This window comes from Homo sapiens, chromosome 14 (assembly GCF_000001405.40).
Source record: "Homo sapiens chromosome 14, GRCh38.p14 Primary Assembly".
In the NCBI taxonomy this organism is placed as follows: Eukaryota; Metazoa; Chordata; class Mammalia; order Primates; family Hominidae; genus Homo; species Homo sapiens.
The window spans coordinates 67,064,461-67,088,498 of NC_000014.9; the positions used below are offsets into that span (position 1 = coordinate 67,064,461).

The window sequence follows — 24,038 nt, forward strand, 5'->3', positions numbered from 1 at the left end:
GAGGATTCCCTCTTTTTCTATTGATTGGAATAGTTTCAGAAGGAATGATACCAACTCCTCTTTGTACCTCTCGTAGAATTTGGCTGTGAATCCATCTGGTCCTGGACTTTTTTTGGTTGGTAGGCTATTAATTATTGCCTCAATTTCAGAGCCCATTATTGGTCTATTCAGAGATTCAACTTCTTCCTGCTTTAGTCTTGGGAGGGTGTATGTGTCCAGGAATTTATCCATTTCTTCTAGATTTTTTAGTTTATTTGCATAGAGGTGTTTATGGTATTCTCTGATGGTAATTTGTATTTCTGTGGGATCAGTGGTGATATCCCCTTTATCATTTTTTATTGCATCTATTTGGTTCTTATCTCTTTTCTTCTTTATTAGTCATGCTAGCGGTCTATCAATTTTGTCGATCCTTTCAAAAACCAGCTCCTGGATTCATTGATTTTTTGAAGGGTTTTTCGTGTCTCTGTCTCCTTCAGTTCTGCTCTGATCTTAGTTATTTCTTGCCTTCTGCTAGCTTTTGAATGTGTTTGCTCTTGCTTCTCTAGTTCTTTTAATTATGATGTTAGGGTGTCAATTTTAGATCTTTCCTGCTTTCTCTTGTGGGCATTTAGTGCTATAAGTTTCCCTCTACACACTGCTTTAAATGTGTCCCAGAGATTCTGGTACATCATGTCTTCGTTCTCATTGGTTTCAAAGAACATCTTTATTTCTGCCTTCATTTCATTATGTACCCAGTAGTCATTCAGGAGCAGGTTGTTCAGTTTCCATGTGCTTGTGCGGTTTTGAGTGAGTTTCTTAATCCTGAGTTCTAATTTGATTGCACTGTGGTCTGAGAGACAGTATGTTGTGATTTCTGTTCTTTTACATTTGCTGAGGAGTGCTTTACTTCCAATTATGTTGTCAATTTTAGAATACGTGCAATGTGGTGCTGAGAAGACTGTATATTCTGTTGATTTGGGGTGGAGAACTCTGTAGATGTCTATTAGGTCTGCTTGGTCCAGAGCTGAGTTTGAGTCCTGGATATCCTTGTTAACCTTCTGTCTCGTTGATCTAATATTGACAGTGGGGTGTTAAAGTCTCCCATTATTATTGTGTGGGAGTCGAAGTCTCTTTGTAGGTCTCTAAGGACTTGCTTTACGAATCTGGGTGCTCCTGTCTTGGGTGCATATATATTTAGAATAGTTAGCTCTTCCTGCTGCATTGATCCCTTTACCATTATATAATGGCCTTCTTTGTCTCTTTTGATCTTTGTTGGTTTAAAGTCTGTTTTATGAGAGATTAGGATGGCAACCCCTGCTTTTTTTTTTTTTTTTGCTTTCCATTTGATTGTTAGATCTTCCTCCATCCCTTTATTTTGAGCCTATGTGTGTCTTTGCACAGAGATGGGTCTCCTGAATACAGCACATTGATGGGGCTTGACTCTTTATCCAATTTGCCAGTCTGTGTCTTTTAATTGGGGCATTTAGCCTATTTACATTTAAGGTCCATATTGTTAGGTGTAGATTTGATCCTGTCATTATGATGTTACCTGGTTATTTTACCTGTTAATTGATGCAGTTTCTTCATAGCATTGATGTTCTTTACAATTTGGCAGGTTTTTGCAGTGGCTGGTACCAGTTGTTCCTTTCCATGTTTAGTGCTTCCTTTAGGAACTCTTGTAACACAGGCCTGGTGGTGACAAAATCTCTGAGCATTTGCTTGTCTGTAAAGGACTTTATTTCTCCTTCATTTATGTTGGCTGGATATGAAATTCTGGGTTGAAAATTCTTTTCTTTAAGAATGTTGAATATTGGCCCCCACTCTCTTCTGGATTGCAGGGTTTCTGCAGAGAGATCCGCAGTTAGTCTGATGGGCTTCCCTTTGTGGGTAACCTGACCTTTCTCTCTGGCTGCCCTTAACATTTTTTCCTTCATTTCAACCTTGGTGAAATTGACAATTATGTGTCTTGGGGTTGTTTTTCTCGAGGAGTATCTTTGTGGTGTTCTCTGTATTCCCTGAAATTGAATGCTGGCCTGCCTTGCTAAGTTGGGAAAGTTCTCCTTGATAATGTCCTAAAGAGTGTTTTTCAACCTGGTTCCATTCTCCCTATCACTTTGAAGTACAACAATCAAATGTAGAATTTGTCTTTTCACATAGTCCCATATTTCTTGGAGGCTTTGTTCGTTTCTTTTTACTCTTTTTTTTCTAAACTTGCCTTCTCACTTTATTTCATTAATTTGATCTTCAATCACTGATATCCTTTCTTCCATTTGATCAAATTTGCTATTGAAGCTAGTGCATGCCTCCCGAAGTTCTCGTGCCTTGGTTTTCAGCTACATCAGGTCACTTAAGGTCTTCTCTACACTGTTTATTCTCATTAGCCATTCGTCTAACCTTTTTTCAAGGTTTTTAGCTTCCTTGTGATGGGTTAGAACATGCTCCTTTAGCTCGGAGAAGTTTGTTATTACGGACCTTCTGAAGCCTACTTCTGTCAACTTGTCAAAGACATTCTCCATCTAGCTTTGTTCCATTGCTGGTGAGGAGCTGCGATCCTTTGGAGGAGAAAAGGCGCTCTGGTTTTTAGAATTTTCAGCTTTTCTGCTCTGGATTCTCACCATCTTTGTGGTTTTATCTACCTTTGGTCTTTGACGTTGGTGACCTACAGATGGGGTTTTGGTGTGGATGTCCTTTTTGTTGATGGTGATGCTATTCCTTTCTGTTTGTTAGTTTTCCTTCCAGGAGTCAGGTCGCTCAGCTGCAGATCTGTTGGAGTTTGCTGGAGGTCCACTCCAGACACTGTTTCCTTGGGTATCACCAGCAGAGGCTGCAGAACAGCAAATATTGCATAACAGCAAATATTGCTGCCTGATGCTTCCTCTGGAAGCTTCATCCCAGAGGGACACCTGCCTGTATGAGGTGTCTGCTGGCCCCTACTAGGAGATGTCTTTCAGTTAGGCTACACAGGGGTCAGGGACTCACTTGATGATGCAGTCTGTCCATTCTCAGAGCTCAAACGACGTGCTGGTAGAACCACTGCTCTCTTCAGAGCTGTCAGACAGGGACGTTTAAGTCTGCAGAATTTTCTCCTGCCTTTTGTTCAGCTATGCCCTGCCCACAAAGGTGGAGTCTGTAGAGGCAGTAGGCCTTGCTGAGCTGTGGTGAGCTCCGCCCAGTTCAAGCTTCCTGGCCACTTTGTTTACCTACTCAAGCCTCAGCAATGGTGGATGCCCCTCCCCCCGCCAGGCTGCAGCCTGGCAGGTTGATCTCAGACTGCTGTGCTAGCAGTGAGCAAGGCTCCATGGGTTTGGGACCTGCCAAGCCAGGCATGGGAGAGAATCTCCTGGTCTGCCAGTTGCTAAGACTGTGGGAAAAGCACAGGATTTGGGCAGGAATGCCCCGTTTTTCGAGGTACAATCTGTCACGGCTTCCCTTGGCTAGGAAAGGGAAATCCCCCAACCCCTTGCACTTCCTGGGTGAGGTGACGCCCCGCCCTGCTTCGACTCGCCCTCCATGGGCTGCACCCACTGTCCAACCCATCCCAATGAGATGAACTGGGTACCTCAGTTGGAAATGCAGAAATCACCTGTCTTCTGCGTCGGTCATGCTGGGAGCTGCAGAATGGAGCTGTTCCTATTCGGCCATCTTGGAACAGAGTCCCAGTGATATTCTTAAAGTTAGACAAATAGTTATGGTTACAACAACTGGAACCCGGGATCCTTAACTCCCAGTCTGGTGTTCATTTCACTATAGCATACTGCATCTCAAATCAATGTAAACATTATTCTTATAAAGCAAGTGCCTAGACGTGTTTGCATGTATAAAGTGTTTTCTGTTTTTCTATTTTGACTACCGATGAATTTTCTATTTTCTCTGGTCTGTCTTTTAGCCTATTACTATTTTCAGCTCCTATCTGCAAGTGAGGATTTTAAGGAACAAGTATTCCACTGATAGGCATTCCTGGCATAACTATGGATGATAACATTTGTAAGACTAACATTTATGATTCATTTTCTTTATTTGTAAAATGCATGACATGAATAAATTACAACTTCACACTTGGTACAGTATCAACTTCTGTAAGGCAGATTAAAATATTCTGGCACCATTCCCTGAAATTCCCAATCTTTTTCTATATACAATGGAAAAACTATGAGCTTTTTTTTAATAGAAAGGATTTTGCTTTCTTGGGAATTTTATGTTAGATTATAAGCTGTAAGCTTTTTTATTTAAGATTACATGATTAAAGACTTCAGTGTCTCTGACCTAGGTTCTCTGCTTTTCCACTTTAGCAGTTCTAGTCAAGGAAACTTTAAGTTTTGCTGTTGGAAGTAAGTTTGGAGCAGTGAAATATCTCTTTTAGAATACTGACCACAGCACAAAGGCACATGTTCCCGTCTCTGACTTCTAGCTAGTTAGCTGCCTGAGCATAGGCAGTTATCTTAAGCTGAGATTGGCTTCCCTTTAGAAGAAATTCTGAAGCTCTTGATTCCAAGCAGTAGGAAGTCCTCACCAAGGTCATACTGGGAGTTCATTAACTCTTCCTGATGGTTCAGGGGCTGTTAGAGAATAAGGGAAAAGGAAATAAGGTATACTTAGAAGTAGCTTTGTCAAGACACTCTTTGGCTCTTTTACTTGCTCTACCTTTTACTAGCCAAATGACCCTGGACAAGCTACTTAACCTTTCTAGGTCTTATCTCCCTCCTATGCAAAATGGAAATAATGTCTACCCAATGTAGGGTTATTGTAGGATACTATTAAAGGAGATAATATTGTGTAAATAATTTTATTTTCGCTAACATGCTCTATTTGGAATTCAGCAACTGCTTCCCTTTCCTCTACTCTCCTAACATGGGGATTCTAAGATCATAACCCTGAGATAAGCACTTGTAAATTACAGAGTATTTACAGTATGACCTTGGTGAGGACTTCCTACTGCTTGGAATCAAGAGCTTCAGAATTTCTTCTAAAGGGAAGCCAATCTCAGCTTAAGATAACTGCCTATGCTCAGGCAGCTAACTAGCTGGAAGTCAGAGACGGGAACATGTGCCTATGTGCCGTGGTCAGTATTCTAAAAGAGATACTTCACTGCTACAAACTTAGTTCCAACAGCAAAACTTAAAGGTTCCTTGACTAGAACTGCTAAAGTGGAAAAACAAAGAACCTAGGTCAAAGACACTGAAGTCTTTAATCATGTAATCTTAAATAAAAAAGCTTACAGCTTATAATCTAAAATAAAATTCCCAAGACAGCAAAAGCTAAAATTGGCTCAACTCCATTTGTTGGCCTGCATCTGGATCCTGTATGCATTTTGATGTAATCAAATTTTAATTCCACCCACCCAGGTCATTCAGGAATATATCTCTGTCTCATTAGAAAATTTAATTAAGCAGCAGTTTTTATTTTATTTTTTATTTTTGCTCTTCTCTGATTGAGCTGTACAAAATTGAAGCAAAGAATTGAGATACCTATTCAAATATTTCAAGTGAAAGCATATATTTTTATTATCCAAATCACTGCCTTAAGTTTCTACCTTCAGTCTAGTAAGGTCTTCACTTAGAATGATTCTACTTGCAAAGGGATGTTGGTCTGTGCTGGCATTTGCTGTCTATTTTTTAATTTTTCCATGAATGTGGCCTCTTAAACTCATTCATAATTCCCTTCAGGTATTCATATCTCTTTAGACTCATCATTCCATGAACTTCATTACACTGCTAAAATATGCACATCTCATTATATCCTTCTACTTCTGCATCTTATTATATCATTACCTTTATACTCCCTGCATTCTTCAAAATGTATATCTTAATCCCTCAATATATTTTTGTGACATATATGTGTGTATATATATGTTTGTGTGTGTGTGTATATATATATACATTTTAAATATTTTTATATATATATATATACACACATATATATATAAAATCACAACTTGTAACTAATCATGGTATCTTCATATTCAAAAATTATATTACCGGCCGGGCGCGGTGGCTCACGCCTGTAATCCCAGCACTTCAGGAGGCCGAGGTGGGCGGGTCACAAGGTCAGGAGTTCGAGGCCAGCCTGGCCAATATGGTGAAACCGCGTCTCTACTAAAAATACAAAAATTAGCTGGGTGTGGTGGTGCACACCTGTAATCCCAGCTACTGGGGAGGCTGAGGCAGAAGAATTGTTTGAACCCGGGAGGTGGAGGTTGTAGTGAGCTGAGATCGTGCCATTGTACTCTAGCCTAGTGACAGAGTGAGACTTCATCTCAAAAAAAAAAAAAAAAAAAAAATATATATATATATCCAATCAGCATTCTGTATATGTGCTTTCAGGTGCTTTTTCCCCCAGTACTGTGGGTCCCACTTGTGTGCTTTTACCACCGTACTTATTAAGCCTTCTTGTTTAGGGGGGTTATTTTTATAGCTATGTAATTGAATAAAATTACCTATTCACACAGAAATCAGGCCTATACCATCAGAGAAATGCAAATCAAAACTACAATGAGACACCATCTCACACCAGTTAGAATGCCAGTCATTAAAAAGTCAGGAAACAACAGGTGCTGGAGAGGATGTGAAGAAATAGGAACACTTTTACACTGTTGGTGGGACTGTAAACTAGTTCAACCATTGTGGAAGATAGTGTGGCAATTCCTCAAGGATCTAGAACTAGAAATACCATTTGACCCAGCCATCCCATTACTGGGCATATACCCAAAGGATTATAAATGATGCTGCTATAAAGACTCATGCACACGTATGTTGATTGCAGCACTATTCACAATAGCAAAGACTTGGAACCAACCCAAATGTCCATCAATGATAGACTGGATTAAGAAAATGTGACACATATACACCATGAAATACTATGCAGCCATAAAAAATGATGAGTTCATGTTCTTTGTAGGGACATGAATGAAGCTGGAAACCATCATTCTGAGCAAACTATCGCAAGGACAGAAAACCAAACACCGCATGTTCTCACTCATAGGTGGGAATTGAACAATGAGAACACTTGGACACAGGAAGGGGAATATCACACACTGGGGCCTGTTATGGGATGGGGGGAGTGGGGAGGGATAACATTAGGAGATATACCTAATGTAAATGACGAGTTAATGGGTGCAGCACACCAACATGGCACATGTATACATACATACCAAACCTGCACGTGGTGCACATGTACCCTGGAACTTAAAGTATAATAATAAAAAATTTAAATTTAAATTTAAAAAAAAATCAGGCCTATAACCTTGGCCTAAATTGCCCTATGTCGCAATCAGGTAGACTGATCTTCCTTTTTCACACTTCCTTCTATGCATACCATTATATATGTTCCTATACATATTCACTCTTAAAAAAAATAAAGTATATTATAAATAAAAAGTAAAGTAGGAAAATGAAATAGAAAATTGAAAAAAGCACATTACAAATATATCTCTTTAAGCAATTTTAGTAGAAAACAATACTTAATCCAAAAAGGAAGGGGGGGTTAATTTTTCAATAGGATTTTTAAAGTTAATTTACACAGCTTTTATTGACTATACTTGTGGTTAAAATAAGGTACAGTCTTTAGATATGATTCTTAATATTTCCATTATTTATAGGTACCTCATTATGTTTTCACATTTTCTATATACATGTCTTATTTGCTGTAGTTTATCTTGCAATTTTTAAATTCTGTATCTATTTTGAAGTTCCTTAGTCTATAGAATTACATGAGGATTCAGAATGTATGCAGTGGAAAAAAATGTTTTAAGTTAAAATGGAAAAAAATAGAAATTTTCTCAGAAGTAATGGCATAAAAATACCTTATTCCAGTAAAGAAGGATCTCCAATATTTTTAGAAATTACAACTCATCCCTGTCTATTCCTAATGTTTTATTGGTGGAATTATGAAAATTAGTGAAAATTAAAAGAGAAAACCTTAGGTGACAGTAAAGGATTTGCCAGTACCAGCAGGGTTATTTTTTTAAGTTTGAGTGATTCACTTTCTCATTAGAGCACCTAGTGCTGCAAGAATTACCTTTTTGACTGTTTTCTCAAGTAAAGACTTTGCAACTCCTAGGAGACCATTAGCTCATCCCAAGCAGCAGAGGGTAAGTATCAGGGAAACCCAGTTCTTCCTTTTATTTAATTGTGAGACAAAAGCATAAGAAGAAAATCAGAGACACAAAGATTCTAATCAACAATACTCTTTCTTATGTGTCTGAATGTGTATAAGAATGTAACTTAGTTGCAATAATCTTTAATACTTTAACTCAATTTTCCAAAAATGGAATTTATTGACTATTTTCTAAAATCTCGTTTTCAGTTTCTATAAACTCCTCTTCTGCAGAATCCCAGTCTCCTTGGTTAACTTCCTAAAAAAAAAAAAAATACAAACCATTAATGTCTTATCATTTGGATATAACAGTGAATGATTTGGTAATACTGTTGCAACCCTGTGACTATAATGCCTTGCTAATTTCCTTACTTTCATTCTAGCAATATGGAAATAAGCCACCAGTATTTCTTCAAAGTCAGTATCATAGTTGGCATATTGGTATGTATTTCTTCTTACATCCCATCTAGGAGCTTTGTTTCATCATGCATTTTATTTTATTTTTTATTTTATAAAATATTTCCTGCATATAAACTTTGTTTTTTTAATTAATGGCCACAGTAATATTCTAACACAGGACCACTCTTTGTGGGAAAAAACTTAACAGTTATTTTTAGAATACTAAGATCCAGGGTTCAAAAAGAAAAGTACATGGTTCAAAATTATAGGACAGTGACTGAGAAATTACCATTAAAGAAGAATTTAAATTATTCAGACTACAGAGTGAACATTTTCTTTCTTTCTTTGCACAAAATCCTGACCAACAAATTCACCCATTGGACGTAAGTGCTACCCATTTATCAGTGATATCCTACTCATTTGACCAGGGTGTGGCAAGGTTTTCATCATTAAGTACTGAAAAAAGTAGGCATTTGCTCTCAATTGAAGCATTTTCTGTGACCTCAAGGACATTTTAGATATTTTTAAAAATTATTCTTCCTAAAAACGTACCCCTTTCATGTTAATTAAGTTAAATGCTTTTTATATTTACACAGTTATTTTAAAAGTTTAATGTTTTATACATAGAAATGAATATATGTAACACAGATGGAAGTTGTAGTGATAAAATAAACATGAAACACCAACCCAACTTAATAACTAATTCATTACCAATTCTGTTGCATCTTTTTGTACCACTAAATCATGGCTTAATCATTTCTGGTAATCATAACATTTGTATTTATTCCAAACTCTATAACCTTACATAAAGCTTATTTTATTTTATGACATAAGAACTGTAATTGCCAGATAATGAGCATCTTTAGATGGAAAAAAGTGCACAACACAATAGCACTTTGAGAAAGCTATGTATTTTATAAGCATAGGAATTTTATTATTCCATTAACACAACTTCTGGAGTAACTAGATTAATGAATGTACTGGTTTTCAACAAAGGAGATCTTAACCCTAAATGATTCAATCTTTTTCACTCTACGAATATATAAAGCCTGTAATACATAAGCAAGACCTGCAGTACACCAAAGTTTTGTCTAGTTGGTCTTTCAAATAAAGAGGTGAGGAATAAATTATACTGGAATAGACTTGAGGGCATCCACCATGTTAAATGTTTATTTTAGTATCTCATAAATAGCCGTGAAACTTTCCTTATGAATGTTATACATGCATACCTCACTTTATTGACTTTGCAGATATTCCTTTTTTTTTTTTTTAACAAATTGAAGGTTTGTGGCAGTCCTACATTGAGCAAGTCTCTTGGCACCATTTTTCCAACAGCATGTGTTCCTTTATGTCTCTGTGTCACATTATGGTAATTCTCACAATAATTCATACTTTGTTATTTTTATATCTCTTACAGTGATCTGTAGTCAGTGATCTTTGTTTTTACTACTGTTATTATTTGGGGGCACCACAAATTGCACCCATTATAAGATGGCAGACTTAATCGATAAACCTGTGAATTCTGACTGTTTTGCCAATTGGCTGTTCCCTTTTCTCCCTCTCCTTGGGCCTCCCTATTCTCTGAGACACAGCAAGATTGAAAGTAGGCCATTTAATAACTCTACAATGGCCTCTAAGTATTCAAGTGAAAGGAAAAATTACATGTCTCTCATTTTAAATCAAAAGCTGGAAATGATTAAGCTTAGTGAGGAAGGCATGTCAAAAGCCAAGAGAGCCAGAAACCTAGGCCGCTGGTGCTACAGCCAAGTTGTGAATGCAAAGGAAAAGTTCTTTAAGGAAATTAAAAGTGCAGTAGACCAACATTCCCTTAAGCCAAAGCGTAATCCAGAGCAAGGCCCTAACTCTTTTCAATTCTGTGAAGGTTGAGAGAGGTGAAAAAGGTATAGAAGAAAAGTTTGAAGCCAGCAGAGGTTGGCTTATGAGCTTTAAGGACAGAATACATCTCCATAATATAACAATGCAAGGTGAAGCAGCAAATACTGATGTAGAAGCAACAGCAAGTTATCCAGAAGATCTATCTAAGATCATTGATGAAGGTGACTATGCTAAGCAACAGGTTTTCAATGTAGATGAAACAGTCTTATATATAGGAAGAAGATGCCTTCTAGGACTTTCATTGCTATAGAGGAAAAATTAATTCCTGTCTTCAAAGCTTTATAGGACAGGCTGATTCTCCTGATAGGGGCTAAAGTAGCTGGTGACTTTAAGTTGAAGCCAATACTCATTGGCCATTCTAAAAATCCTAGTAGCTTTAAGAATTATGCTAAATCTTCCCTCCCTGTGCTCTATAAATGACAAAGCTTGGATGATAGTACATCTTTTTGCAGGTTGGTTTACTGATTATGTTAAGTCTTTTCTTGAGACCTCTTATTCAGACAAAAAGATTTCTTTCAAAATATAACTATTATTGATATTGCATCTAGTCATCCAAGAGCTCTGATTGGGATGTACAAGATTAATGTTGTTTTCATGCATGCTAATACAACATCCCCTCTGTAGTCCATAGATCAAGGAGTAATTTCAATATTCAAGTGTTATTATTTAAGACATACATTTTATAAGGCTATACTTGCCATAGATAGTGATTCCTATAGTGGATCTGAGCAAAGTAAATTGAAAACTTTCTGGAAAGGATTCACCATTCTAGATGTCATTAAGAGCATTTATGATTCACGGGAGGAGGTCAAATATCAACATTGACAGGAGTTGAAAAGAAGTTGATTCCAACCTTCATGGATGACTTTAAGTAGTTCACTGCTTCAGTGGAAGAAGTAACTACGATGTCGTCAAAATAGCAAGGGGACTAGAATTAGAGATGAAACCTGAAGATGTGACTGAATTGCTGCAATCTCATGATGAAACTTGAACAGATAAGGAGTTACTTCCTATGGATGAGTAAAGAAAGGGGCTTCTTAAGATGGAATCTACTGATAAAAATGCTGTAGACATTGTTGAAATGATGACAACCAAGGATTTAGAATATTACATAAACTTAGTTGGTAAAGTAGTGACAGGATTTAAGAGGATTGACTCCAATTTTCAAAGAAGTTCTACTGTGGATTAAATGCTGTCCAACAGCATTGCATGCTACAGAGATATCTTTCATGAAGGAAAGAGTCAATCAGTATAGCAAACTTCATTATTGTCTTATTTTAAGAAATTGCCACAGCCACCCCAGCCACAAGCAACTACCACCCAGATCAGTCAGCAGCCATCAACATGGAGGCAAGACCCTCCACCAGCAAAAACGTTACAACTCGCTGAAGACTCAGATAATTGTTAGCATTTTTTAGCAATAAAGTATTTTTTAAATTAAGGTATGTACATTGTTATTTTCACATAATACTATTTCACACTTAATAGACTACAGAATAGCGTAAACATAACTCTTACATGCACTGGCTAACCAGAAAATTGGTGTAAATCACTGTACTGCAATACTCAGTTTATTGCGGTAGTCTTGAACTAACCCTGCAATATCTCTAAAGTATCCCTGTAATTCACTTTAAAGTTTTTTTAATGATGTAGAGACTCAAATCTGTACATGCTTCACCTTTCATAGTAACCCTCTTAATCCTTAGCCTTAGTTAATATTGTTCCTACTGATGGTCATTTTAGCAGAGTAAATATATGTTTTGACATTGCCTTTTCAGCTCTTTTGGTAAGCGCAGTGAATAGTTGTTATGTGAAAAAAGATCTTACAGTAACCTCTCACATAGATTATGTATAATGGTGGCTTTTAAATGTTGCAGCATCAATGCCGTTACAATGGGCATGAGTAAACTTTTGAAGAATTTATAATCAATAGCAGATGGATTTATGTCCACATTTTATATTTGAAAGGCTTAGGTAGTATGTTTTCCTTTCAGCATTCTATTACCTACCACACTCTTTCTCCACTCTCGATTCATATAAATGATAAATCTTGGTTAGCCAAAGTGATGACAAGGAATCAATTTCCTGGACCACTGAACTTAGAGCTCTCCCTTAACTTTCTAAAAAGCCTCTTAGAGCTAACTACACAGGGAACTTTATAACTGTGGGATTATTTTGATAAGTGACTTTGAGAAATTAGAATGCTTTTCACTCTTATATCCAAAAGCCTTTCAGTTCTTCTAACATCTTAACTTGGACAGTAAGAAGAAAGTATAGACAGTCACTGACTTGTGATAATTTGACTTGTGGGTTTTGTTTTGTTTTGTTTTGTTTTGTTTTTTACTTACAATTATGTAAAACCATCACAATTTCAACATACTTCAAATTTTGCATTTTGATATTTTTGTGGTCTGTTGATATGTAGTACCTGAGATATTCAACACTTTGTTATAAAATAGGCTTTGTGTTAGATGATTCTGCCCAACTGTATGTTAATGTAAGCATCCCGAGCACATGTAAGGTTAGGCAAGGCTAGGCTCTGATGTTCACTCTCTTAGCTCTATTTGAATGCATTTTTGACTTGCCACATGTTTTCAACTTAAAATGCGTTTATCAGGATGTAACCTCATTGTAAATCAAGAAACATCTGTATTATCTGTGTCAGAATAAATGCCCAACCAAACAAATTAACTATTAATTTTCCCCTTTAGAGAATATATTTGAGCTCAATGCTCACAAATCATACTTAATTTTAGACATAGTTCCCTGTCTTTATTTTTCTTGTGTGTATGTCCATTGTCAGCCATTTGAATCGATAAAGACTTTTTCTAAAGATACCTTAGGCCAGTCATCTCAGTTTTAAAAAGCCAGTACTCCAGCTAGTGGGGAATTCATTAATCACTGTTATCATATGGAAAACTGAATTTTATATGTGTACTACTAACAACATAAAAAGACTACCCTTTTTGATCCAACCAGACTGCCACTGTTATCTTGCAGCACAAGTAAGCATGGCACACAAAACAATGTATCAGCCAGTCTTTTTCCACTCTTTCTTCTTGTCTACCGCCTGAGATCACTTAATTGTATATGTGGCCCAGGGTGCCCAGTGTTACATAGCCTTGCCTTTAAGATTTCTGACACTCTGTAGAATCCGTAAATATGCATGTGTGTTTATGGTCTTCATCTTCATCAAATTGAAGACATTATTTTACAGAATTTATGCAATACAATATGTGGAAGAAAGTAGAACAGAATAAACATTGTCTAGTCAGACCATGAAAGCAGGACCATAGCTTCTTGGCACACAGCCTAACCTTCAGCAAAATGAAATGCTCACAGCAGTCTGTGAAAAGCTGCAAATTCCCGACATCAAATGTTCCTAAGCAAGCATATTAGTTATATTAATCGCCTATTGGGAAAGCCATCTTTTGCTTATTATAAATGGGGCTCTTCCTGGAATGGGGCAACTGGTAAAAGGAAATTTTGCTTATGTTTTTCTGAAATTACATTTTTCAGTAAGCCCTTTGGCTCCCACTGCTTCAGCTGCTCACTGCTGTTTCTCTACCAAATGCTAAACTTAAAACAGTCATAATATCCAGGTGAGAAGTTACTGCTCCCCGGTTCCCATTTAAGTTTGAAGCCTTAGGATACCTTTCTAAAATCACAAGCACAAGTTTTATCCAACACTACTGCTTAGCTTCTACCTATGGGCAAAGGGAAGGGATGGTTTCACATCTGTGTAAGTATCTGTACGAATGCAAGAGAGACAGTCCCATGTGGTTAAGTAATTTGCAGTACTATTATATTCTCTTTACATTCCAAATGGATCATTTGGCTTGACATTGAATGAAGTCTAATACTGACTGGTTGGAAAAGCTAGAAAATTGTTTAGTCCTAAACTTTAATGAGAGATACGGATATAGCAGCTTGCAGAGAGGTATATCTGGCATTTATTCCTTCAAGATTCCTTTTGTATCTGCTGCCGACTGGGAGCCCTTACCATTTTCCACTTGATTGCCTATTTCTCTCCATATTTTTTTCCCTTCCCTTAAGCTCTCAGACCAAAACTTGAGGTCATGCATGCTTTTCTCTTTGAGGAGACTTAAATCTTTGCTGACAAGTTGACTTTATACCAACTCCAAAATCAGGACTAATCCACTAGGGATCTAATTTACCTTAAATATAGCAACCACTATATATAGCGTGAGTTCAAAATAAAAAGCTGGTTGGTTATATATATTGTAAATTTTATATTAATAATATTAACAAAAGACCAGATGGTATATGTGTGCTATAAATATGACTTTCCTAAATATCACATATAGAAATGAAATATGCTTCTTTAAAACAACTCTTGTACTTGCCTTTAAAAAAAATTATCAAGATAAAATTCAAAGTATTCAGTGTTTTTAGTATATTCAGACATGTGTAGCCATCACCACAATTTTAGAAGATATAATTCATATGCTATACAATTCAAAGTATTCAGTGTTTTTAGTATACTCAGACGTGTAGCCATCACCACAATTTTAGAACATTTTCATTAATTCAAAAAGAATGCCTGTCCCTTTTAGCAATCATCCTCCTATCCCCTCATCTTCACATCTAGCCCTAAATAAACCACTAGTCTACTTCCTGTTTCTATAAATTTGCCTATTTGGGACATTTCATATAAGTAGGATCATATAATACATGGTCTTTTGTAACTGGCTTTTTCCACTTAGCTTAATATTTTCAAGATTCATCCATGTTACAGCATGTATCAGTAATTCATTCCTTTGTTGTGGTGGTAAAAACACAACACAAAATTTATCATCTTAACCATTTTTAAGTTCAGCAGTGTTAAGTATATTCATATTTTTGTGAGACAGATCTTCAGAATTGTTTCAATTCGCAAATTCAAAACTCTCTATCCATTAAATAACTCTTACACCTCCCTCTAGCGTCTGATAACTATCATTCTACTTTTTTCTATTAATTTGACTACTTTAATTGTTTATTCATTCACCTATTAATGAACATTTGAGTTGCTTCCACCTCTTGACTATTGTGAATATAGTTTCTATGACCATATTCAAGACCTTGCTTTTAATTCTTTTGAATACATACCCAGAAGTGGGGTTGTTGGATCATATGATAGTTCTATTTTTAATTTTTTGAGGAACTTCCATACTATTTTACAAGTGGTTACACCATTTTATAACCCCACCAGCTGTGCACAAGGGTTTCAGTTTCCTTATTCATGCCAAAACTTTTCTGGGTTTTTTGATGGTAGCTATCCTAATAAGTAAGGTGATGTTCTCATTGTGATTTTGACTTTCATTTTTCTGACAATTACTGATAATGAGCATCTTTTTATATTCTCATTGGCTATTTGTATAGCATCTTTGGGAAAATGTGTATTCAAGTCTTTTTTTCATTTTAAATTCATGTGATTTTTTGTTGTTGAGTTGTAAGAGCTCTTTATGTATTCTGGATATTAACTCTTACTAGATATATGATTTGCAATTATTTTCTCTCATTTCATAGGTTGCCTTTTTACTCTGTTGATTGCATTCTTTGATGCACAAAATATTTCTGTTAGATGTAGTCCCATTTGTCTATTTTGCTTTAGTTGCCTATGTTTTTGGTGTCATATCCCAAAAAAAAATCATTGCCACATTGAATGTCATGAACTACTTCCTGTTTTCTTCTAGTTTTATAGTTTTAGGTCTTACATTTAGGTCTTTAATGCAGGTTGAGTTAATTTTCTTTGTTGTTGTTTTTTTCACTGTCTTCTTCTTATTATTAATTTCCATAGGTTATTAGGGAACAGGTGGTGTTTGTTTACATGAGTAAGTTCTTTAGTGGTGATTTGTGAGATTCTGGTGCACCCATCACCCAAGCTGTATACACTGTACCCAATTTGTATTCTTTTATCCCTCACCTGCCTCCGACCCTTTCCCCCAAGTCCCCAAAGTCCGCTGTATCATTCTTATGCCTTTGCATCTTCATGGCTTAGCTCCCACTTATAAGTGAGAACATACAATGTTTGGTTTTTCATTCCTGAATTACTTCACTTGGAATAATGGTCTCCAGTTCCATCCAGTTTGCTGCAAATGCCATTATTTCATTCCTTTTTTGGCTGAATAGTAGTATTCTGTGGTATACATATACCACAATTTCTTTATCCACTCATGGATTGGTGGGCATTTGGGCTGGTTCCATATTTTTGCAATTGCAAATTGTGCTGCTATAAACATGCATGTGCAAGTGTCTTTCATGTATAATTACTTCTTTTCCTCTGGGTAGATACCCAGTAGTGGGATTGCTGGATCAAGTGGTAGTTCTACTTTCAGTTCTTTAAGGAATCTCCACACTGTTTGCCATAGTGGTTGTACAAGTTTACATTTCTACCAGCAGTGTAAAAGTATTCCCTTTTCACCACATCCCCACCAACATCTATTATTCTTTTATTTTTTCATTATGGCCATTCTTGCAAGAGTAAGGTGGTATCACATTGTGGTTTTGATTTGCATTTTCCTGATCATTGGCGATTTTTTTTATATATTTGTTGACCATTTGTATATCTTCTTTTGAGAATTGTCTATTCATGTCCTTAGCCCATTTTTTGACAGGATAGTTTTTTCATGCTAATTTGCTTAAGTTCCTCGTAGATTCTAGATATTAGTCCTTTGTCAGATGTGTAAATTGTGAAGATTTTCTCCCACTCTGTGGGTTGTCTGTTTACTTTGCTGATTGTTTCTTTTGCTGTGCAGAAACTTTTTAGATTAATTAAGTCCCACCTATTTATCATTGTTTTTCTTGCATTTGCTTTTGGATTCTTGGTCATGAAGTCTTTGCCTAAGCCAATGTCTAGAAGGGTTTTTCTGATGTTATCTTCTAGAATTTTTATAGTTTCAGTTCTTAGGCTTAAGTCCTTGATCCAACTTAGTTGATTTTTGCATAAGGTGAGAGAGGAGGATCCAGTTTCATTCTTCTACATGTGACTTGCCAATTATCCCAGCACCATTTGTTGAATAGGGTGTCCTTTCCCCACTTTTATGTTTTTGTTTGCTTTGTCAACGATCAGTTGGCTGTAAGTATTGGATTTATTTCTGGGTTCTCTATTCTCTTTCATTGGTCTATGTGCCTATTTTTATACCAGTACCATGTTGTTTTAGTGACTATGGCCTTACGGTATAGTTTGAAGTCACGTAGTGTGATGTCTCCAGATTTGTTCTTTTTGCTTAGTCTTGCTTTGGCTGTGTGGGCTCCTTTTTTGGTTTTATATGAATTTTAGGATTGTCTTTTCTAGTTCTGTGAAGAATGGTGGTGGTATTTTGATGCAAATTACATTGAATTTGTACATTGCTTTTGGCAGTGTGGTCATTTTCACAATATTGATTCTACCCACCCATGAGCATGGGATGTGTTTCCATTTGTTTGTGTCATCTGTGATTTCTTTCAGCAGTGTTTTGTAGTTTTCCTTGTAGAGGTATATAGTATAATTGTAAGAGTCCAATTTTATTCTTTTGCATTTGGGTATCTGATTTTACTAGCACCATTTGTTGAAGAGACTGTCCTTTCCCCATTGAGTGGTCTTGACACCCTTATCAGAGATCATTTGACTATACACATGAAGGTTTATTTCTAAGTTCTCTATTCTATTCCATTGATCTATATGTCTGTTTATGCCAGTACCATACTGTTTTGATTACTGTGGCTTCATAATATGTTTTGAAATCAGGAAACATGACTCCTCCAACTTTGTTCTTTTTCACAATTGTTTTGGCTATTTGGAGTCCCTTGAGATTCCATATAAATTTTAGGATGAGTTTTTCTGTTTTTATAAAAAATGTCCTTGGGATTTTGATAGGATTGCACTTAATTTGTAGATTGCTTTGGGTAGTATGAACATTAACAATATGAACACAGGCTGTCTTTCCATTTACTTGTCTCTGTTACTTCTTTCAGCAATGTTTAGTAGTTTTCCAAAAATACATCATTTCTTTTTATGGCTATGTAATGTTTCATTGTATAGATGTACCACAGATATACCACAGTTTGTTCATTCATCAGTTGATGGATATTTAGGTTTCCATCTTTTGGCTATTATGAAAAATGATGTTAAAAATAATTATGCTCAAGTTTTTGTGTGGCATTTGTTTTCACTTATTTTCAGTTTGCCCTTGGTTTTTAAGAATAATTGAACTTAAATAAAAGTAAAGACTGTTCTGGAAGTCCAGGATAGAAAAAGACATTTTGAGTAAGACCTATATTTGTTGCTTTGAGTAGACACAAAGGAAATAAAAATTGCAATTCTTTCAAAAGCTTGAGGAACCACACACACCAACGTGAGACCTCTTACATGTCAATTTTGCAAATAGTTGCTAACTGATTGATAGTATTTGGATCTATGCCCCCCCCCCTCCAAATCTCACGTTGAAATGTAACTCCCAGTGCTGTGCTGGAAGTGGGGCCTAGTGGGAGGTTACTGGAGCTGTGCTGTCATCATGATAGTGAGTTCTCTTGAGATCTGGTTGTTTAAAAGTGTGTGGCACCTGCCCCCTCTCTCTCTTGCTCCTTCTCTGGCCATGTGAGGTGCCACTCTCCCTTTGTCTTCTGCCATGATTGTAAGTTTCCTGAGGCCTCCCCAGAAGAAAAAAGCCACTATGCTTCTTGTACAGCCTACAGAACTGTGAGCCAATTAAACCTCTTATCTTTATAAATTACCCAGTCTCAGTATTTCTTTATAGCAGTGCAAGAACAGACTAATACACTGATATATTACAAATTGAATATATAGTTGACAAAAAATATATACATGAGTAGTATTCAGAGTGGCAATGATCAAGGAGAACTTACTATCTTGAATGAAGTCTTGATATAGATAACGGATGTAGACTGGCAGCAAAAAGGAAAATAACAGTCTGGGTTTAGGGAAGCCTTGACCATATGCATGGAGGTGAGCAAGTATATACAGAAACATGACTTGGCTAGAGAGGGGGTACAGCTTCAAAGAAATGAGATTAGAGATTAGCAAAATATCCTTCTCTATTTTATATCCTCTTTGATCGAAGCTGGTTGTATTTGATTGATATGACCTTTTTCTCTACTTATCTGATATTTTCTTGTAGTCATAATCATTAATGCACTCATTCATTGACTCAGTCATTCAAACAGTGACTGAGTGCCTTTTACATACCAAACACTGTGCTTGATACTAGGGTTACAAAGATGAATGATATATACTGTGACAACAAAGAATTCAAAGCCTGATGCAGAAGTCAAGACAATTTCACAAACAGCCACAATACAATATGAAAAGTGTGCAAAAATAGATGGTTACAAATCTTATGCAAATATTAAGAGTAAATGTAGTCCTTCCAACCAATTCTCTGTTTTATCACCAAAGAAGTTCCAAAAAGACAAATCTCATTACCTTTCAAGAGACTTAAATTATGCTAGTAAATTAACTTGAAGTCATTAGTCTGCTTAAAAATCCCTTATTGGATTCCCATTTTTACAAAATTAGGTTTAAACTCCCTTGATCCTGTTTCATTTGTCTAAAACGCCCCCCTCTCCTACCTGGTTTTGAGTTACTCTTTAAAACTCAGCTCAGGTGTTTATCTCTTCTAGGAAGATTTTCTAGATGTTCCACAAGTTTTTGGTTAGGTGATTTTCTGTATGTCTCCCATATCACCCTGTACATTTTCCTGCCACTGTCTATGTCATACTATCTTGTAATCATCTCTATTTCTCTGTCTTTCTCTTTCTCTCATGCACTGTGCTTGTGAATTCCTTGAGGACATCAGCCAGGCCCTACGGGTATTTTTGTCTCCAGTGTCTAGCATATATTATGTTCCCAGTGTTTGATGAATGGATGAGCAAATCAGTCAGTGAACTTGTTGGCCTTGGTAAGAGACAGAAGATCAAAGAGGTAACATCTGAGCTGAACCTTGAAGAATGCATGATACTTACTAGGAGGAGAAAAAGGAAAGAAAAAAGGCCTTCCTGTCCAATGCAACATGATCTGCAAAAGCACAGACTAGAAAAAGCCCAGAATGTTTAAGATGTGACAAATCATACTTTGTATCAGAAACTGGACATTTGTCAGAAATAAAGGTCAATCGCAGTGTAAATATTTCCCACATTGTGCTAAACGATTCTTAAACTAGCACTGCAGAATTATTATAATAGGATATGTTTATTAATTTTTAGCCTACTAAAGTTTTGGTGGGTTGTAGCATTTAAATAACTACATTATTCCTTGTCATACATACATTTTTCTCATTTGAGCCTCCTCAGAAACTTGAGGGTTATTTTTTAGTATTTATGTGTATGTTAGAATGGGGAGTAAATATTATTGCAAACTACCAGAACAAAGTTTTTAGATTCCAGAATCAAATGTTATCAAATTATTATTGAGTAGATTCTATACCATAGGAACCTTCCAGAATGGAATTGCACAATAAGATATATGAACAACTCAGGCATTCAAGACAGAAATCAAGTGAGCTGATATTCTTTTATCCAAATTGTCAGTGAGACCTTACTCCACTTTCTTCTACTTCCACGTATCTAAATCTTGCAAAAGCAGAAGATAATCATTATTTCTCTCCTCAGAGTGGTCAAATAATTCATTCATGTGCATTTCAAGACACTGTGAGATCTATAATACAGCTGTCAGTATCAACTGTCTTTCAAACTTAGCATATTAAATATAAAGCCCCTGTCTTAGAATATAGGAAGAAAGAGAGCCATGCTGAGCCTGTTTCTTTGGGGCTACTGGCAAGAACTTAGGGTGTAAAAGTGACTATACTAACTGTTGATTCTTATGGCAAACAGATTTGTAGTTTTTTGTTGTTGATGATGGTGTATGTAGTGATAACATATACATAACATAAAACTTAACTATTTTAACCATTTTTAAGTGTATGGTTCAATAGCATTAAGTACATTCACATTGTTCTGTAACCATCACCACCAGCCATGTCTAGAACTTTTTGGTCTTCCCAAACTGAAACTCTATACCCATTAAACACTAACTCTTCTTTCCCTCCTCATCCCAGCACCTGCCACCACCATTCTACTTTCTATCTCTGTGATTTGACTACTCTATGTACCTCATGTAAGTGGAATCATAAAATATTTGTCTTTTTATGGTCAGCTTATTTCACTTAGCAGAATGTCCTCAAGATTCATCCATGTTGTAGCATAGTCAGAATTTCCTTCCTTTTTAAGGCTAAATAATATTTCTGTATGTATATACCATACTTTGCTTATCCATTCATCTGTCAATGGATACTTGAGTTGCTTCCACCATTGATTATTGTGGATAATGTTGTGAATATGGGTGTACAGATACGTGTTCAATTCCCAGCTTTTAATGTTTTGGATGTATACCTGGAAATGGAATTGCTGGTTTATATGGTAATTATGTTTAATTTTTTAACTTGCAACTTTTTAAATGTGAGAGATATAAAGGAAGAGCAGTGGGTAGAGGGAACATGAGTGGTAGTAGTTATTACTATGGTGGTAGTATGGCTGAAAAGTTCTGGTCGGGCGCGGTGGCTCACGCCTGTAATCCCAGCACTTTGGAAGGCCGAGGCGGGCAGATCACGAGGTCAGGAGATCGAGACCATCCTGGCTAACACGGTGAAACCCCGTCTCTACTAAAAATACAAAAAATTAGCCGGGCGAGGTGGCGGGCGCCTGTAGTCCCAGCTACTCGGGAGGCTAAGGCAGGAGAATGGCGTGAACCCCAGGGGGCGGAGCCTGCAGTGAGCCGAGATTGCGCCACTGCACTCCAGCCTGGGCGACAGCGAGACTCTGTCTCAAAAAAAAAAAAAAAAAAGTTCTAAAATCTAGTTTTTCCATCTTACTTTAGCCACCTATGAAATATATTGCTGTGGGTAAGTACTTACTGTATTTAAACGTCTCTTCCGGCCAGGCGCGTGGCTCACGCCTGTAATCTCAGCATTTTGGGAGGCCAAGGTGGGCGGATCATGAGGTCAGGAGATCGAGACCATCCTGGATAACACGGTGAAACCCCATCTCTACTAAAAATACAAAAAATTAGCCAGGTGTGGTGGCGGGCGCCTGTAGTCCCAGCTACTCGGGAGGCTGAGGCAGGAGAATGGCGTGAACCCAGAAGGCGGAGCTTGCAGTGAGCCGAGATCCCACCACTGCACTCCAACCTGGGCGACAGAGCAAGACTCTGTCTCAAAAAAAAAAAAAAAAAAACTCTCTTCCTTCACCTGTAAAATGAACATAACAGTGCTCTACTAGATTTTCATGGGATTAAGTGAGATTATATATGTGATTCATACAGTGTTAATAAACATTTACTGTATCATTGGGGCTAGCCACCAGAAAAACTCAGCCCTTGTGCTATCTCTGATAATTAACCACTATTAGTGCACTATTCAAAATCCCAGCAAAGTCATTCATGTAGATTCTGAGCTGATGTATAGCTTACATTTTGATCTACACCCCCCAGTGCCAGGACAAACTACTTCCAGATAAGGAACCATCCCATGAGGTTTACTGTGATCCTGGACAAGCACCACTGGGCCCACTGCTAGGGACTATATAGCTTCAGGTTCATGTGAGAGTTAATGTTATATATGTGAATACAAACTAGACCCTATGGTCCCACCACTTTGCTTGTCTGACATAGTATGGCCCAAACCTCCAGTATAGCTCCAGAATAGCTTCAACATCCTAGGAGTATCTGAAGGTAGAATCTGCTAAGTTCTCCCTTCCAATTCAGGTGCCAAAAGGGAAGAGTCAATATCACTATAGGATATAGTGATATTCAGAATAGAAATTTGAACATCAGATGGTCCGAATATAAATTTAAAAATCTCTCTACACTTACTTCTAGGTCCTAGGATCTGGAAATCAGAGACCCTAGGTGGCTAAGAAGGTCAAAGATAAAAAACACAGACTCACTTATCCAGCTCCGGAAACAATGAAATTTTATAAATTATACAAATACTTCATGTAAATCAAGTCCTATATTACTTGTCTTGGTTTCTTTTCTTCCTTCCTCTTCCTCTTTTTTTAACCTCATTTATTTTTGCTTTCCTTTTTTTAAATTAGCAATAAAGACAGTTTCTGACTAGAGGATTTCAGGAATTGGTTATGACTCCTGAAACTTTTATTCTTATTGGCACTAGTTCAAATTTCTGAGCCAAAAGTGATTTTCATCCAGAGTAGTCTGAATACTTACTTCACACAAAAGGTTACTAGTGCTCTTCTTATAGGCACTAAATTATTTCAATTAATGAAGCCAAAATCAAAGGCTAAAACTCAAATGGAATGACTGGGATATTCCTTCCTTTTTTTTTAAGCTTTCTCTTCTTAAGAAAAAAACAACTTTAGGATTAAAAAATGATGCATTCATTGTAGAAAACGTGGAAATTTTGGGAAAAGTAGAGCAAAGGGAATAAAAAACATAAATCTAACATTCTGAAGTAATAAATGCTTTATATTTTCATGTATGTTCTTTCCTTTTCTACTGATATATACACATATATCTTAATACAGTTAAGACTATATGCTGCAGATTTGACTTTGCATGTTGTAAAAATATGTATCATAGGAATTTTCCTATGTCAATGAATATTCTTCATAAATATTACTTTAGCCTCCATAATATTTTACCTTAAGAATCTATCATT

General features: G+C 36.6%; 1 protein-coding gene and 1 long non-coding RNA gene across 24 annotated transcripts in view, besides 2 other annotated features; one reads left to right on the forward strand and one right to left on the reverse strand.

The window, feature by feature from the left end:
- GPHN (gephyrin) overlaps window positions 1-24,038 on the forward strand; it is a 1,227,209-nt gene that overhangs the window by 556,314 nt on the left and 646,857 nt on the right. The gene's annotated exons all lie outside the window — the stretch shown is intronic.
- Window positions 2,800-3,329: an enhancer, noted in NCBI's record as "H3K27ac-H3K4me1 hESC enhancer chr14:67533977-67534506 (GRCh37/hg19 assembly coordinates)". NCBI's record gives its function as "activates a minimal SCP1, AML or CMV promoter by ChIP-STARR-seq in primed H9 embryonic stem cells {active_cell/tissue: H9 hESC(primed)}" and the evidence as "EXISTENCE:reporter gene assay evidence [ECO:0000049][PMID:30033119]".
- Window positions 3,330-3,859: an enhancer, noted in NCBI's record as "H3K27ac-H3K4me1 hESC enhancer chr14:67534507-67535036 (GRCh37/hg19 assembly coordinates)". NCBI's record gives its function as "activates a minimal SCP1, AML or CMV promoter by ChIP-STARR-seq in primed H9 embryonic stem cells {active_cell/tissue: H9 hESC(primed)}" and the evidence as "EXISTENCE:reporter gene assay evidence [ECO:0000049][PMID:30033119]".
- The window catches only part of LOC105370538 (uncharacterized), a 116,677-nt gene continuing 100,866 nt past the window's right edge, over window positions 8,228-24,038 (reverse strand). The window contains exon 5 of the long non-coding RNA XR_007064215.1: window positions 8,228-8,329. This is a non-coding gene — a long non-coding RNA (uncharacterized LOC105370538). The remainder of the gene's footprint in view (window positions 8,330-24,038) is intronic.